The sequence below is a fragment of the Homo sapiens genome, chromosome 10 (assembly GCF_000001405.40).
Source record: "Homo sapiens chromosome 10, GRCh38.p14 Primary Assembly".
Taxonomy (NCBI): Eukaryota; Metazoa; Chordata; class Mammalia; order Primates; family Hominidae; genus Homo; species Homo sapiens.
In genome coordinates this window covers 79034707-79051660 of record NC_000010.11, presented here as the reverse complement: position 1 = coordinate 79051660, position 16954 = coordinate 79034707, and the positions used below count along the sequence as shown (strand labels likewise).

At 46.9% G+C, this 16954-nt stretch overlaps 1 long non-coding RNA gene across 3 annotated transcripts in view, besides 4 other annotated features; it reads left to right on the top strand.

Moving 5' to 3' along the window:
• The window catches only part of ZMIZ1-AS1 (ZMIZ1 antisense RNA 1), a 124123-nt gene that overhangs the window by 15788 nt on the left and 91381 nt on the right, over nucleotides 1-16954 (top strand). For 2 of the 3 annotated variants that reach the window (NR_024429.1, NR_024431.2), the window contains one exon: nucleotides 2729-2887. The exons of the other annotated variant lie outside the window; for it this stretch is intronic. This is a non-coding gene — a long non-coding RNA (ZMIZ1 antisense RNA 1). The remainder of the gene's footprint in view (nucleotides 1-2728; nucleotides 2888-16954) is intronic. 3 annotated transcript variants of the gene reach the window in all.
• Nucleotides 2117-2799: an enhancer, noted in NCBI's record as "H3K27ac-H3K4me1 hESC enhancer chr10:80808619-80809301 (GRCh37/hg19 assembly coordinates)". NCBI's record gives its function as "activates a minimal SCP1, AML or CMV promoter by ChIP-STARR-seq in naive H9 embryonic stem cells {active_cell/tissue: H9 hESC(naive)}" and the evidence as "EXISTENCE:reporter gene assay evidence [ECO:0000049][PMID:30033119]".
• Nucleotides 3235-3294: an enhancer, noted in NCBI's record as "active region_3622". NCBI's record gives its function as "activates an Ori minimal core promoter by ATAC-STARR-seq in GM12878 lymphoblastoid cells {active_cell/tissue: GM12878}" and the evidence as "EXISTENCE:reporter gene assay evidence [ECO:0000049][PMID:35858748]".
• Nucleotides 3407-4606: an enhancer, noted in NCBI's record as "MED14-independent group 3 enhancer chr10:80806812-80808011 (GRCh37/hg19 assembly coordinates)". NCBI's record gives its function as "activates an origin of replication core promoter dependent on BRD2, BRD4, P300/CBP and CDK7 cofactors, and independent of MED14, by STARR-seq in HCT116 cells {active_cell/tissue: HCT116}" and the evidence as "EXISTENCE:reporter gene assay evidence [ECO:0000049][PMID:35650434]".
• Nucleotides 4532-4591: a silencer, noted in NCBI's record as "silent region_2522". NCBI's record gives its function as "represses an Ori minimal core promoter by ATAC-STARR-seq in GM12878 lymphoblastoid cells {active_cell/tissue: GM12878}" and the evidence as "EXISTENCE:reporter gene assay evidence [ECO:0000049][PMID:35858748]".

The following is a 16954-nucleotide window of genomic DNA, read 5'->3' as shown; positions in this document are numbered from 1 at the left end:
TGAAAATAATCCAGACCTCTTAGACCTAGTTTCAGTGCTTGAATTGCTTTGCATGGTGGGATGTGGGTGAAGCTGCCTTGCCTCTCCTAGTCTCAGTTTATTGGTTCAAATAATGGGAACTCCAAGACCTTCCGTAGGGTCAGTGAGAAAATGGAGTACAGGGGGTCTGTAACTCAGGCGGCATGTACGTGTGTGGGTGAAATCGTGCCACGTGACCCTGTGTTGCAGGAGGCTGAAGATGCTTAGCAAATATGTGGGGAGAAGGCAGGGCAGGTCCAGCGCTGGCCCCAGCAGAGGCCACAGACCAGCTGAGCAGCCACTGTGACAGGGACAGTTTTATTCTGAGCACCCCTACTCCCATTTTCTGTAGCCCCTCCCCTCCTCCCAATGCAAGAGTGGAGCTGACTTTCACTGCGCTCAGTGAATTTGCCTCTCACCTTCTGGGGGGTTTTGCAGTTTCCAGAAGAGGGGCACAAATATGTTCACTGGGCTTCCAGGAAGTGCCTCACCCTCTGAGCTCACCATGTCTCCAGACTGCCCAAGGCATGTTTTATTACCCTTGAGATATGGTGAAATACATATTTGTTTCCCCCTCCTCCCATCCCATTTCCTGGCATAGGACTCCTAAAATCCTTGGACTCTCCAAAGTGATAAGTTTCTTTTTGTATGCTAATGAGTTGATTGCTGGCTGGCTGCTCCTAGGACACTTCAGGATGTGGGCTGGTCACCAGAAAGACCAAGGATTAGAGGGTTGGGGCTTCCAGCCCCACCTCCCCCATCTGGGGGTGGGTGGGGAGAAGGGCTGAAGGTTGAGTTGATCACCAATGGCCAATGTTTTAATCAATCATGACTACATAATGACATCGCCATAAAAACGCAACAAATCTGGGTTCCGGGAGCCTCCAGACAGCTGAACGTTTGGAGGCACTTGGAAGGTGGCACTCCAAGAGAGGGCATGGGAGCACCCCTTCCGGACCTCGCCCTGTGCCTCTCTTCATCTGGATGTTTATTTGTATCCTTTAAAATATCTTTTGTTATAAACCAGTAAACATTTTTCCAAGAGTTCTGTGAGCCGCTCGGGCAAATTAATCAGACCCAAGCAGGGGGTTGTGGGAACCCCGATTCATAGACGAACGGTCAGAAGCACAGGCAGAATAACCTGGGGTTTGCGGTGGGCATCAGAAGTGGGGCTCAGAGTTAGGGGACTGAATCCTCACCCTGTGGGATCTGATGCTATCTCCAGGTGGATGGTGTTTGAAGTGAATTGAATTAGGGGACACCCAGCTGGCATCTGCTGCAGAACTGATGACTCGCTTGCTGGTGGGCAGAAATCTCCATAATCTTTCTTTAGCAGATGAGGTCACTGAGGCTCAGAGAGGGTAAGTGACTTGTTTAGGGCTGTCTAGCTAGGATGTGGAGGCTTGGGGACAAGGCCTCTTGGGCACATACAACTAGGATGGGCAGGTGACTCCCTGCCACCAGGGGAGTTGGTGAAATGCTTCGCAGGGCTGAGGTTGAGCAAGTGGGCAGTGCCTGGAGAAGCCAATCTGCATCCTTGGTGTGGGTAGGCCTTGAGGGTATTTGAAGCAGGCCCTCTGCCTGGGGCGGTCTGCCCCTGCTGGCTGGGCTGCACAGAGAGTCAGGGAGGCATGGGAGCATAGCCATCCACTTTCAGAGCCCCATCTTGGGGGCTTTTAGTTTCTGGGAAAAGTCTATCTTTTTTTGTTTTTTTGAGACGGAATCTGGAGTCTGCCTCTGTCGCCCAGGCTGGAGTGCAGTGGTGAGATCTTGGCTCACTGCAACCTCTGCCTCCTGGGTTCAAGCAATTCTCCTGCCTCAGCCTCCTGAGTAGCTGGGATTACAGGCGTCCGCCACCATGCCCAGCTAATTTTCTTGTGTTTTTAGTAGAGACAGAGTTTCACCATGTTGGCCAGGCTGGTCTCGAACTCCTGACCTCATGATCTGCTTGCCTGGCCTCCCAAAGTGCTGGGATTACAGGCGTGAGCCACTGCGCCGAGCCAGCAAAGTCTATCTTTATTTGCGGGAGGGGGGGGGCGGAAACTTGTTTGTTGGGTTTTTCTTTTTTATGTGTTTGTTTTTGGTGCAAATTGTTTGGCAGTGGACACGGCCAGAGGAATTCAGAGAGTGGAGACAGTGGATTTAGAAATTCAACTGAGAGGCCCTGGAAGTCCATTTGGGGCCTGCCATCTAGCTGATGCTCAGCACAGGGCTTGGCGTCGCGTGCCCTACCACCTGGCCTCCCAGGCTTTGCCCAATCTGTGGCTTCCCCTGGAATGTAGTTCTCTGCTCTTCTCTGCTGATCAGACCCCTCCCCTCAGGTCCAGGCCCTTGGGACCACTCTCTCCAAGTCTCCTCCCCTGCCCCAGCGCCTCTATCTGTTCCCACTCTGGTCCCAATTTGTAATACCTGCTCATGCAGCCTGCCTGTCCCAGAAGCAGCCTGGGTTCACCAGGACAGGTGTCTGTCCTGTCCCACCAGTCAGGCTCAAAGTCTGTCCAGGAAGGCAAGTCCGACCCTCAGTCCTGGAGGGGGCCATGCAGTGAGCTGGCAAAGACCTGTACAGGCTCATCCAGGAAGTCTCGGCCCAGAGGCTGAAGGGTGGCCAACCAGCACAGTTTGCCCAGGAACGAGGTAGGGGAGGGGCGGGGGGCGGTTTCCTGGGATGCGGGACTTTCAGTGCTAAGCTGGAATGCCCTGTTCACCCTAGCTGAAGCCACTTGCTCAGAGCCGCACAGCAAGCCCACCACCCTGAACCTCCAGATTACCAACTCAGCATTGTGTCCTGACAGTGTCATCATAGATGGTCAACACCGTCACCTGGGCAGCACTGAAGCCCAGAGCGGGAGAGACTGGCTCAAGACCATGGGTAAGTCAGCAGCAAAGCTGGGGAAAGGAAACCACCAACCTGAGAGCCCCTGGCTGGTTCCCAAATCCAGGCCCTTACTTCTCTTCCCCACCATCCAGGGTGGGGGGCAGACACCCAGTGAAATGGCCTGCCCCAAAGGAGGGGAGCCTTGCCGAGCCACCCCAGGCCACCTCAGACCCACACCCCCAGCTCAGCGGTTGGAGGGGCTGAGGAGGGGCTGAGCCGCCACCCCCTCCCCACCCCAGTGCCAGGGCCCCAGCCTTGCAGCGCTTGTCCCCAGCCCAGATGAGCAGGGCGCCCTTATCAGATCTCCGTTTCTGTTTCTCTCCTCTGGCTGCTTCTGCCTGGCCCTGCCCCCAACCCCGGTGGCCTTTTCCTCTCTGAAGTGATGTTCCTTTTCCTGTCACCAACACACACAGCACACAGAGAAGTTTGTTTCTGTTGCTTTAAAAAAGTTTCCTTCTGGGGAGGAGGGCAAGGGGTTGTTTACTGGGCCTGCAAAGCCTCACCGTGGGTGTGGGCATGGGTGTGGCATGGGTGTGGGTGGCAACTGGGTCCCTGCTGGATTTGGGGTTGGTGGAGGCTGCACCCACGACCCTGGGCCTCTGGATCCTGTGCAAAAGCCAGGAACGTGGAAGGAAAACCTCCTGTGCACCCTGCTCAGGGCTGGGCTGGTTCACCCACCGTCCAGCCACACTCCTGCAGAAACCTGGGAGGTCAGGGGTTTTGTTTTCCATTTTCCACAGGAGACAGCTGAGGCTCGGCCAAGGTTGCCAGGGTCCAAGCCTATGGATTTGTGGTCTGGGCTCTGCCAGTGGCATGGCACTGTCTTCAAAGCTCCCACCCTACCATTTTTCTTACCCACACAGGGCAGGCTCGACCCAGCTAAGGAACACAGCTTCCTGAAGCATCTGTCCTGGGCCGTTGGCCCTTCTGTGGACAGGGCTTGAGCTCTGTAGGCTGGATTTGAATTTCAAGTCCTCCTGCTGTGTGACCTTGAACAAGTTACTTAGCCTCTCTGAGCATCAAATGGCTTAACTATCAAATAAGAAGCACAGAGAAGTCCCCAAGAGCCAGTAGACTCTGGAGGCTGTGAGACCGGGGACTGGGGCTCCTGCATCCTTAATGAAGGTTTCAGTCTTGAGTCGCGTCTGGGAGACCTGCTGAAGCAATGGGGAGCTACTGTAGGTGGGTAAACAAGGGAGAGTGTGATGGAGGCCATGTTCTAAAAGGATTCTATAGGCAGCAGAAGGGAGGAGGGCTCAGGGGAGAGGTGGAGGAGCTGCAGGGGAGAGGTGGAGGCTGGGAGGCCAACAAAGGAGGCTTTGACTTCCTTTTCAGAAAAATAAGGCCACCCACCTCCCACCAGGAGCAAGAGTCATGGAGGGAGACTGTCTCAGCTGGCCTGGCCTGGCTCCTGCCCAGGACAGAGATCCCGGCCCCTGGACTCCTCCAGCAGCCCAGTGTAGGGGAGGAGTGCCTTCCTCCCCATGCCCAGGGTAGCCCCTTGTCTGAGAGTGGTGGTTGTGGCAGGCCCTGCTGAGAACTGCAGTTTCATTTCCCACTGACCTCCACCCACTGGACTCTCCCAGGCTCTTGTTTCAAGCTGCCTAGTGCTAACCCCAGCCCTTGAGCCAGCTCGCTCCAGCCTTTACCTCAGACCAGGGCACTGGGGCTGTGTGTAGGACTCACACCTCCCAGGTCTGTCTCTTACCTTGGGACCCTTAGGGCAGGAACACGGGAGGGGGGCTCTGATGTATGATGTCAGGGAACTCCGAGGGCCACCTCCTCCTCTGACAAAAGCACCTTCTTTGTCAAGTGAGTAATTCCTCTGACACATGTCGCTCTGACATGGCACAGGTCTTCTTAAAGATGAACGTCCTCCATGACCTGTGTGGGTTTCCTGGGAATAACCCACAGTAGTGGTCAAGGAGGCCAGGAAAGAAGAACTTCTACTGTTTCCCCCTTTTCCAAATTTGTTGGATGGAGATATAGAGGGTGGGGCCACCTTATTCTTCAAAAGGATTTTTAACAGCAGGGAAAAGGAAGGGTTGAGTCTCACAGTCCACACTGCAGCCACCATAACCATTTCCCAGACAAGTAAACTAAGGCCCAGGGCGAGATCCCAGGCTTCCTTACTCAACTTCCAGCCAGGGCAGAGTCTCTCGAACGAAAGAAGGGACGCTGCTGCATGGCTCACGTGCTCAGCCCTGGTAATAGAAATACGTCTCCAGTGAGATCTAATTGTAACTCTCATTGGGACCTGCGTCACCTACAAGGCTGGCAGCCAGACACCCTGAGAATGCACCAGCTTTACTCTTTTTTTTTTTTTTTTTTTTGAGATGAAGTCTTGCTCTGCTGTACAGTCTAGAGTGCAGTGGCATGATCTCGGCTCGCCACACCCTCTGCCTTCCAGATTCAGGCAATCTCCTGCCTCAGCCTCCCTATTATATGGGATTACAGGCATGCATCACCACAGCCTGGCTGATTTGTGTGTGTGCGTGTGTGGTATTTTTAGTAGAGATGGGGGTTTCACGATGTTAACCAGTCTGGTCTCAAACTCCTGAGCTCAAGTGATCTGCCCACCTCGACCTCCCAAAGTGCTGGGATCACAGGGGTCAGCCACTGCACCTGGCCTACGAGCTTTACTCTTTCCCTGGGTGATAGGGTGATGGCAGTCTCTGGGGCAGGGGGAGGAGTGCTGTGCCACATGCCCTGGGCACCTGCTTTGCTGCATGTCCTTCTCCAAGGCTCTGATCCTCTCTGGGCCTCTTTATTTCTTGCAGTGCCTGCCTCATGGGATTGCAGGGACCAAAGGATTTGGGTGCCGGCAATTGGAGGGCCGTTCTGTGGGCCAGCATTGGGCAGGCGCCTCCCACATGGTTCTCTTTTTGTCCTCCCAGTAGCCCTGTGCATCAGACGCAGAGCTGTGCTGCATGCACCCACTTGCCCCACTCGCCTCAGAGGAGCGTTCCTTGCAGGAGGAATTTGATAGATTTTAATACCAGGGTCCCCTGCTGACCAGGCTTTGCATTTCCTTACCTACCCTCGGCTCTAACTTTGGCCTGGCGAAGCAGGGCACCACAGGACATCAGGGTCACACATCTCAGACCACAAGAGCCTCAGCAGTCTCCAAGACAAAGTAGAGATTGAAGGCCCTGCTTCTCCTTCCAGAGTACTGAGGAGCCTCCTGCCTTCCTGAGTGAGGCTGGGGGATCAAAGCTCAACAATAGTGGGTTGTCAGAATTACGTTTCTAGAAAGGAAAATCAAGACTGATTTTTATGGGGAGTATAGCATTATGCTCCAGTAATAGTACTATTAGCTCCATTGCACAGAGGAGGAAATTGAGGCTTAGAGAATTTCTGATTGTCTAAAGACATCTTTCCTGGAACTGGTGGATCAGGGACAAGAACCCTGATTTGTTGATGTCAAAGCGTGTGTAGTTTTTCCTTTTTTATATCTTCTGGATCAGCAAGACCACCGCATTTGGGGAACAGAAGGCACAATGGGGGGAGTGGCACAGCTGCAACGTGAAGGGCTCCATGTGGGGCCTTGGAGACACCAAGCTGCCCTCCTCCTGGTCCGAGCTGCCCACTTCCCATCCCTCATCCCTCCTCCTTCAGCTTAGGGCCAGCTGCACCTGGCTCCAGGCCCTCCACTCAGTGTGGAGAAGTCCTGGCCCTCCTCACCACCTTCCCACAGCCCCTGCTCAGCTGCAGAGCCTGCCGTGGGCCTTCTAAAGCTGTGTACTGCTCCCAAAGGTGGCAGCAGGCAGAGCCAGGCCTTGCTGGGGGCTCCTTCACCCCTTGGAGTCTGGGCCTCAGAGTGACGTCCCAGGCTGAGGCTCATTGGGAGGGGTCAGCATTGGCATCAGGAGACTGGGGTCAAGTCTGAGTTCTGACAGTGACTGTGTGACCTTGGACAGTCACTTGCCCTCGCTGGGCCTTGGTTTTCCTGTTGTGAAGTCATATGGTCCTGGGATGTGGGCAAGGGTAGAGAAATGAGACACTTCAGCTCCCCACTCACAAGCCGTGCCCCCTCAGGCCCACCACTTAGGTTTTCTTAGCCCCTCCATTTTCCCCGGCATAAAATGGGGATAATGAAGCCCATTCCTTCTGATCGTTAAGGAAACCAGCATTTACTGAAGGCTCGGCCCCGTGCAAGATGCTCTCTGAAGCATTTTCTCTCATGGACTCCCATCCATCCAACAATGAAATGAAATGTCTTGCTTTTGGTCTTTCATACAATGTCTCTTTGCAGCCTCTCCTGGTCTGACAGTCTCAGATGCAGTCATGGATGGCTTTCTGGAGGAGGTGGTACCTGGTCTGTGGGAAGTAGGGGTCAGCATCCTGGTCTCTGGGAGCATCTGCTCCAGATGGTTTCCCTGGGGCCCCCAGAAGCAGGTGTTTGCGCTAACAGCTCTGCAAGCAGAGAGCTTCAGTGCATGGCCCTTCTTGCCCTTGTTCCCAGGCACATGCTGTTCCCCTGGGGCTGAATACCCCACTTACTTGTAAATCCCAGTGCTCTCCTGTTCATTCTGCAGTGCCAGCACAAGTCTCCTCCTTGGGGAAGGCTTTCTGGACTTCCCAGCCCACTGGCCATTGTTCCGTCTTGCAGGTGCCCCCTCAGGGTGCCTGCTGTAACCGTCACTCACATATCTCCCCCACCCAACAGAGGGCCTTGCTTTTGGTCCTGGACCTGCACCTTTGACTGTATTCTTAGTGATTTGTCCAAGCCCACCCTGGGAGATAGGGGCGGTGCCAGGCTAGCACCCAGTTCTCCTGGGTTCTCTGAGAAAGTTCCTACCTTCTTCCCTGGCTCACAAGTAGTACTTAAGCAGTTTTGGTTGTTAAAGAAAATACTGAATTTATTCTTCCAACCACTCATATATATATATAAATCAGTGTTATTGAGAAACAATTTACAAAATGCACCCATTTTCACTGTACAGTTCAGTGAATTTTAACAGGTGTGTACAGTGGTGTAAACACTGCCACACCCAAGATATCACACATTTCCATCACCCCTCAAAATCTCCTCATACCCCTTCCTGATCAATCCCTCTTCCTGCCTCAGGCAACATTTGATTTGATTTTATCAATATCGATTAGTTTTGCATGTTCTAGAATGTCCTATAAATTGTGATTAGGCAGTATGTACTTTCTGTGTAGTGCCATGCATGTTGTATCTTGCATGAGTAGTTCGGCCCTTTGCATTGCTGGGTAGTATTCTGGAGAATGGACATTCCACAATTTGTTTATCTGTTCACCAATTGATAGAATTTGGGTTATTTCCAGTTTGGGGATTTTATGAATAAAGCTGCTATGAACATTCATGTGAACATGTTTTCATTTACCTTGGGCTAATGCCTGGAACTGGTATTGTTGTATTGTCAGGGTAAGTATATGTTTTACTATATAAGAAATTGCCAAATTCTTTTCCAAAGTGTTTGCACCATTTTAGCCACCAGGAGTGTATAAGAGTTCCATTTGTTCCATATCTTGTCAACACTTGGTATCATCGGTCTTTGAGCAATTCTAGTGAGTATGTAATGGCAACTGTTGCTTTAATTTGCAATTCCACGACAACTAGTAATGTTGAAAATGTTGATCATCTGGTTATGTGCATATGCCTTTTTTGGCAAAGCACCTGTTTGAATCTTTTGCCTAGTTTTACTGGTTGTTTGTCTTCTTATTGAGTTCTAAGAATTCTTCATATGAATTCTTGACACAAGTGCTTTGTCAGATATCTGTGTTGCAAAATATTTTCCCAGTTGGTATCTTGCCTTTTCATTTTCCTAATTGTATCTTTTGAAGAGTAAAAGTCTGATTGATCAGTTTTTGCTTGTCTAGTTAGTGCTTGACATGACTTGTTTAAGGAAACTTTGCCTGCCAACAAGGCTGCAGATATTTTCTCTGCAGTTTTCTTCTAGATGTTTTATAGTTTTAGCTTTTGTGTTCAGATATATCGTCTGTTTTGAGTTCCTTTTTATGAATGATGTGAGGTGGAATTGAGGTCCATATAGATATCCATTTGCTTTCTCTATCATATTTGTTACTGTTTTCTGTTATTGCCCTTGTTTTTCATTCTTGGTTTTGCTTTCCACTCTTTTTCTGCTGTTTGTGGTTTTAATCAGGCATTTTATATGATTCTATGTTATCTTCTTTCTTAGCATATCATTATACTTTTTTTTTTTCTTTTCTTAGTGGTTGCCCTGGAGTTTGCAATATACATTTACAGCTAATCCAATTCCATTTTCAAATAACACTGCACTGTTTCATGGGCAATGCATGTACCTTGTAATAACAAAGTATTCCTTCCCCTCTCTCTCTTCCCTTGTAACATTGCTGTCTTTCATTTTACCAACCCATAAACTATAATCATTGAATACATTGTTGCTGTTATTTTGAACAAACTGTTATCTGTTGTATCAATTAAGAAAAAGTTGCTTTTTTTTTTTACCTCCATTTATCCTTCTATGCATTCTTTCTTTATGTAGATCTGAGTGTCTGACCTGTATCATTTTCCTTCTCTCTAAAGAACTTATTTTAACATTTTCTGCAAGGCATGTATACTGGCAACAAATTCACTCAAATTTTGCTTGTCTGAGAAAGTATTTACTTTTGAAAGATAATTTGGCAGCATATAGAATTCTAGGTTGATGGGTTTTTTGGTTTGTTTATTTTGTTTCTCTCTCAACAGTTTAAATATTTCAATCTACTCTGTTTTTTTTGTGTGTGTGAATGGTTTCTGAGAAGTCTGGTGTAATTCTTACCTTCTTTGCTCTTCAATAGATAAGAGTTTTGTTTTTTTTTTCTTCTGCCTTCTTTCAAAATTTTTCTTTATCTTTGATTTTCTGCAGTTTGAATAGACAGTCCTAGGTGTGGATTTTTTGGAATTTATCCTACTCACTGTTCTCTGTGCTTCCTGGATCTGTGGTTTGGTATCTGACTTTAATTTTGGGAAATTGTCAGTCATTATTACTTCAAATATTTCTTCTGTTCCTTTCTTTCTTCTTCTTTTGACATTACTATTATACACATATTATACCTTTTGTAGTCCTGCTTGGATATTCTGTTCAATTGCTTTCAGCCTTTTTTGCTCTTTGCTTTCTAGTTTTGAAAGTTCTATTGTCATATCCTCAAACTTACAAATTCTTTCCTCTGCTGTGTCCAGTCTGCTAATGAGCCTATCAAAGGCATTCTTAATTTCTGTTACAATGTTTTTAATTCCTAGCATTTCTTTTTGATTCTTTATTAGAATTTGTATCTCTCTGCTTATATCACCCATCTGTTGTTACACGTTGTCTACTTTTTCCCTTAGAGACCTTAGCATATTAATCATACTTCATACTTGCTTTAAAGTTCTGGTCTGATAATTCCAATATCCCTGTCGTATTTGTGTCTAGGTCTGGTGCTTGTTATGCCTTTGCTGTATTTTTTTCCTTTTTGTGTGCCTTATAAATTGTTGTTGAAGCTAGATCTGATGTACCAGGTAAAAGTAATCTGGTACTAGTTCCCACAGAGGGTTCTACTGATGGGTTTCTGCTCTGATAAGTTGTAATTCTCTGTTTTCACTTGTCTATCTCTCCAGTTTTGGAGGCATTAGTTTGCCCCATGGCCTCAATTCTCTGATGAATCTAAGAAGAGTTGTTGGTTTTCAGTTTGTTTAGCTGTTTTCTTATTGTGAGGATGACAGCGATGATTCCCAAGCTCCTTACATGCTGGAATAGAAACTGGAAGTCTGGTATTTTTTTGTTTTCATGTCTTTTCTTACAAATATAATTCTTTGCCCACTGAATAACCTTATCACTTTTGTAAAAAATCAGTTGCATAGTCCCGCTACTTGGGGACTTTCTTCTGTTCCATTGATCCATATATCTTTCCTTATACCAATACCATACTCTATTGACTACTGTAGCTGTGTAGTAAATCCTGAAATCAAGAAGCATAAGTTCTCCAAATATGTTATTTTTTAAAAAGTGTTTTGGGTATTCTAGGAAGTCCTTTTCATTTTCATATAAATTTTAGGATCAGTTTGTTGATGTCTGTTTTTTAAAAGAGTCTGCTGAGATTTTTCATTGGTTTGTAGTCTTCTTATATTGTGTTTGCCTGGTGTTATTAAGCACAGTACTGCTGAGCTTGTGAAACAACTTGGGAAGTATTCCATCCTCTATGGTTTGAAAGAATTTGTGTTTGGTATTATTTTCTACTTAAATATTTGATAAAATTCACTATAGATATATATGGGCTTGGAGTTTCTTTTAGGGAAGGTTTTGTGAGTTACATTTCTGTAATAAATATGGAGCTATTTGTTTTGTTTTTCTTACGCCAATCTTGATAATTTGTTTGTTTGTTTGTTTGTTTTTTGAGATGGAGTCTTGCTCTGTCACCCAGGTTGGAGTGCAATGGCACGATCTTGGCTCACTGCAACCTCCGCCTCCCCGGTTCAAGCAATTCTCCTGCCTCAACCTCCTGAGTAGCTGGGATTACAGGCATGTGCCACCACACCTGGCTAATTTTTGTATTTTTAGTAGAGACGGGGTTTCACCATGTTGGCCAGGCTGGTCTCAAATTTGTGACCTTAAGTGATCTGCCCACCTCTGCCTCCCAAAGTGCTGGGATTATAGGCATGAGCCACCGTGCCCAGCCAATAATTTCTATTGTTAAATGAATTTGTCTCGTTTATTTGAGGTGCCAAAGTTGTGATCTTAAAGTTGTTTATAATATTATTTTGGTATCCTTTTAACATCTGTAAGATCTGCAGTGATGAATCCACTTTGATTCCTGATATTGGTCATTTGTGTTTTCTTTTTTCTTCATCAGTCTAGCTAGAAGTTCCCTGATTTCCATTAATCTTTTCAAAAGCATATGCTATGGTTTCCATTGAGTTTCTGTAAGTGCATGCCCATTTTCCTTTTTGTTGGTTTCTGCTCTTTATTATACTCTTCCTTCTACTTTGGTTTTAATTTGGTCTTTGGTTAAACTTCATTAGGTGAATCAGTGGTGTGTTGGGAGTCCCCAAGACCACCCTCAGGTTCAAGGATTTTCTAGTAGGACTTACAGGAATCAGCTGTCTGCTAAGATTTCTTATAGCAAAGGATACAAAGCAAAATTGCAAAGGGAAAAGGCACATGGGGTAAAATTTGAAGAAAAACAGACATAAGCTTCCAAGAGTCTGCTCATGGTGTACTCTAGTCGTACAAGATGTGCTGAATTCCTCCAACAATGAGTTGTGACAACACATGTGAAATGCTGTCTACCAGGGATGCTCATTAGAGGCTCCATGTCCAGCATCTGTATTGAGGGTTCACCACATAGGCACCCTCTGCATGGCACATGTCAACATTTTAGGTTCCCAGAAGGAAAACATTGTTCAGGATAAACCATATTGTTTATGTAAATCATCTAGACACAGCAAGGCACTTTTATCAAGGAATGATGGGAACCTCCTGAAATCCAGGTTTCCAGATGCCAGTTATATTAGTCTGTTTAGCATTGCTATGAAAAAATACCTGAGAGTGGGCAGTTTATAAAGAAAAGACATTTATTTTCGCGCACTATTCTGCCGGCTGGGAAGTTCAAGAGCCTAGTGCCCCATCTGGCTGGCTTCTGATGAGGGCCACATGCTGGGTCAAAACGTGGCAGAGAAGCAGAAATGTGAGCTGAGTGGTCATGTGTGCAAAGAGAACACATGGCGGAGGAGTAAGCAAGAGAGAGTCTAGGAAGCTGAACTTGCTTTTATAACCAGCTGCTCTTGCTGTAAGTAATCTGGAGAGAGAGAGGGCCTTAACTATTCATGAGAGATCCGCCGCGGTGACCCAGACATCTCCTCCCACTAGGCCCCACCTCCCACCATGGCCACATCAGGGATCAAATTTCAACATGAGTTTTGGAGGGGACAGACTCAAACCTTAGTACCAGTCAAAGGCCAACCTGGTAAGAAGGCCTTTCTAAGGCCAGTAGTCTCAGGCCTGCTCTGTTCTCTTTTCTGCACAAATGTTTTAGAATTCCCATTTTGCCTAATGTAAGCAATTCAAGCCAAATATTTCCCTTCCACCACTCTTTGAACTACATCTCACAAACATTAACATGTTGTGTTTTCATTTTTTTCAGTTAGCTCAAAACATTTTCTAATTTTCCTTGTGATTTCTGTTGTCTTCAGGTTCATACATCTTTTGTCTGCACTGTATCTGCTATTCATTCCTTCCTGTGAAATTTCCATTTCATATATTGTGTTTTTCTGCTCTAGAAGTTTTGTTTCTTTTACATGGTTTTCATTTATTTCTTCATTATGTTCATTTTTTTAATGCTTGAATATGATTGTAATAACTATTTTAATGTAGCTGCTCATTCCATAATTTCTGTCATCTAGTTCTGTTTCTGTTGAATTATTTTTCTTCTGGCTGTGGGTCACATTTTACTGCTTTCTTGCACATCCGGTAGTTTTGTTTGGATGCTGGACATTGCCTAGTGTTTGGGTTTTGTTGCCTTCCTTTAGAGTATTAAAGATATTGCTTTGAGAGGCAGGTAACCTGTTTACCTGTAGATGGGGTTGCTCTTTTTGGGGCTCATTTTCAAGCTTTATTAAGTTGATCCATGAGCCTTCTTTACCCTGATTGGTTGGAACTCCAAGTCTCCCAGCTTTGTATGAGCTCCTGTAGCCCTTCAACTTCCGGTAGTCAGTTTCCTCTGATAGTTGGTTTTTGCCTGGCTTCATTGATTCTCACCCTAGGCATGCACAGCTTATAATTTGGCTACAGGCTCAAGAGGACCCCTGTGCAGATTTCTGGAGCTTTTTCTCTGCCTAGCTCCTTCCTCTCTGGTGCTCTGCCCACAACTTCTAGCAGCCTCAGGCTCCCTGGATCCCAATCTCTGTCTCGTCAGCTCAGTTAGACTGTTGTGCTCCACCTGGATTCTCTCTTCATGCAGTGGTCTCAAATGTGCCTCCAAGGAGATAACTGGACCATCAGAGTTTATCTCATCTGTGTCCCTGTTCTCAGGAATTACTGGCCTGTGCTTCTATATGAAAATAGGTGCTTCTATGTTTATTTTTATTTTTATTTTTTTTCTGATCACTGGTACTATGGCGTGGCAAAAAGTAGACCTTATCAACCAATTTTTTTTGACTCCCAGTCCAATGTTTATGATGATGTAAGTTCACCAGGAAGAGGCCTGAAGGAGGGCATATTAGGAGAAGGGTCTACTTACGGGAAGGTTGTATGTTCAAGGCACACTCAAGCACTTTCAGGGGTGGTGGTCGGGCATGGTGGATCACGCCTGTAATCCTTCCTTTGGGAGGCTGAAGTAGGAGGAGCACTTGAGGCCAGGTGTTCAAGACTAGCCTGGGCGGTGGGAACAAGCAAGACCTTGTCTCAAAAAAAAAAAAAAAAAAGATTAGCCAGGTGTGGTGGCACATGCCTATAGTCTCAGCTACTCCAGAGGCTAAGGCAGGAGGATCACTTGGGCCCAGGAGTTCCAGCCTGCAGTGAGGTATGATCCCACCACTGCAATTGTGGTGTGGGAGCAGAGAGAGCTAGAGTGAACCAGAGGGATAGGCAGGGATGGATTTGCAGAGGACCTTGAATGGCAGTCTAAGAGGTTGCACATTATCCTGGAGAAGCTGTGGCTAATAATTATTATCATAACTATAATGTCAATAACATTAACTGATTTATTTTCATGTACCATGCACTGCCCTAAGCTCTTTTAATGGATTATCTTATTTATTCCTTCAGCTAGCTCATGAGATACTGCAATGTTATTAGGAATTACCCTGTGTTTTTTAAAGCATTTTACATAATTATCTCATTTAATTCTCACAATAACACTATGTGTTAGCAATTAGAATTATGTCTGTTTTATGGATCAGAAAAACTGAGGCATAGAGAAGCTAAATGACTTATAGTCACCCAGAGAATAAGTGGCAATGAGGGCTGATTTTCTCTTCTTCCCAAATACTCTTTTAACATTATTATAATTATATTCTTACAATAAAAAAGAGCTGCCTTTGGGCCACCAGATGTCCATGATGCTCTGTTACCTGTAGACACTGTGAGTGTTAGCGTCTGTGGCCATGGTGCCAGAAGGGCAAGTGGAAACTATGACGGTTTAAAAACAGTTCCCTAGGCCAGGCGTGGTGGCTCACTCATGTAATCCCAGCACTTTGGGAGGCCGAGGTGGGTGAATCACCCGATGTCAGGAGTTGGAGACCAGCCTGGCCAACATGGTGAAACCCCATCTCTATTAAAAATACAAAAATTAGCTGGGCATGGAGGCACATGCCTGTGATCCCAGCTACTCAGGAGGCTGAGGCAGGAGAATCACTTGAACCCAGGAGGCGGAGGTTGCAGTGGACTGAGATCATGCCACTGCACTGCAGCCTGGGCCAAAGCGCAAGACTCCATCTCAAAAACAAACAAACAAACACACACAACAAAAAAAACAAAAACCAGTTCTCCGCATTCTTTGACACTCATCCCATCAAAAGGTGGACTTCAATTCCTCTCCTCTTTGATATAGGTTGGCTGTAGTGACTTGCTTCCCATGAGCAGAATGTGTCAGAAGTGATGGTGAATGATGTGGTTAGTTCTAAGAAGGCAACTCGAGGCCAGGTTTGGTGGCTCACGCCTGTAATCCCAGCACTTTGGGAGGCCTAAGTGAGGGGGAAGATCCCTTGAGCTCAGGAGTTTGAGACTAGCCTAGGCAACATGGCAAGACCCTGTCTCTACAAAAAGTTTAAAAATTAGCCAAGCGTAGTGATGCATGGCTGTAGTCCCAAATACTTGAGAGGTTGAGGTGTGAGGATCACTTGAGCCTGGGAGGTTGAGGCTACAGTGAGCTGTGCTTGCACCACTGCACTCCAGCCTGGGCAACAGAGTGAGACCTTGCCTGTCTCTAAAGACAAGAACAATGCAACTCAGCTGCCACCTGACTCTTCCTCTTTGACATGCACCTTGGGAGCCCTGATCTGTTTTCTGTTCCTATAGTTTTGCCTTTTCTAGAATGTCGCATAAGTGGACTCATCCAGCCTGCAGTCTTTGTGTCTGGCATCTTTTACTTGGCCTATTGCTTTTGAGATTTGCCCCTGTGGCTGTGTGTGTTGGTAGTTGGGTCTTTTTTATTTCTGAATAGTATTGTTAATCCATTCATTTGTGATTTGTATGCCCACCCCAGGGCTGGGCACAGAATGGGTGCTCCCCAAATGGGTGTTGAGTGGCTGAGCAGGGGAATGGGAGGTGAAGGCAGAGACTCCTGTAGAAATCTGTTCAAATCAGTCTTTCATGGGGATTGGAGGAGGCAAGGTGATGACGTTTATCATTCATTAATTCACAAATATTTATTGAGTGCCTACCCATGCCAGATGCCATGCTAGGCCATGATAAATGGTTCCTGATTACCCAGAGCTACCCATTCAGCTGAGAAGACAAATAACTCACCAAGCGGTTGACATCAAGGGAGACGTGTCCTGAAGGAAGGGAAAGCAGGGCAGGGCAAGGGTGTGGTTGGGTAGACAGCAGGGCAGCCACTCTAGGATGGTGTAGGGGGCCAGATTAGGCTTCCCTGGGGAAGTCAAGGCCTGCAGGAGGTGGTGTCTGCTGAACCATGGAGGAGGGCAGTGTGTCCTGGCAAAAAAGGCAGAGGTGTGAAGACCCATGTGTGAGTGTGCAGCAGGTTAGAGGAATGAGTCTGGTGTGACTCTAGGGAGTGGTCAGATTTGGGGCTGAGAGGTGGTCCTAGGACAGATGTGGAGAGCACCTAAGTCACATCGACAAGTGTGGCTTTTGTTCTAGAGGCAGCAGGATCTGTGGAAGGACTCTGAGTTGGAAAGTGATGTAATTAGGGTCTCTGCCTCCAAGTGGAGAAAGGACTGAGTGCACAGGTGTGGGTGGGGGTCCAGCGTGGGATGGCAGTAGCCTGGGAACAGGTGACAGCAGTAGGAACAATAGATTTCAGACCAATTTAGAGGCTGACTTGCCGGGATCTGGTGACTGATTTTAGGTGGGGTGCAGAGAGAAAAGAGACTGAATCCCAATTTGGGACTCAGGCAACAGAATAGATGGCAGT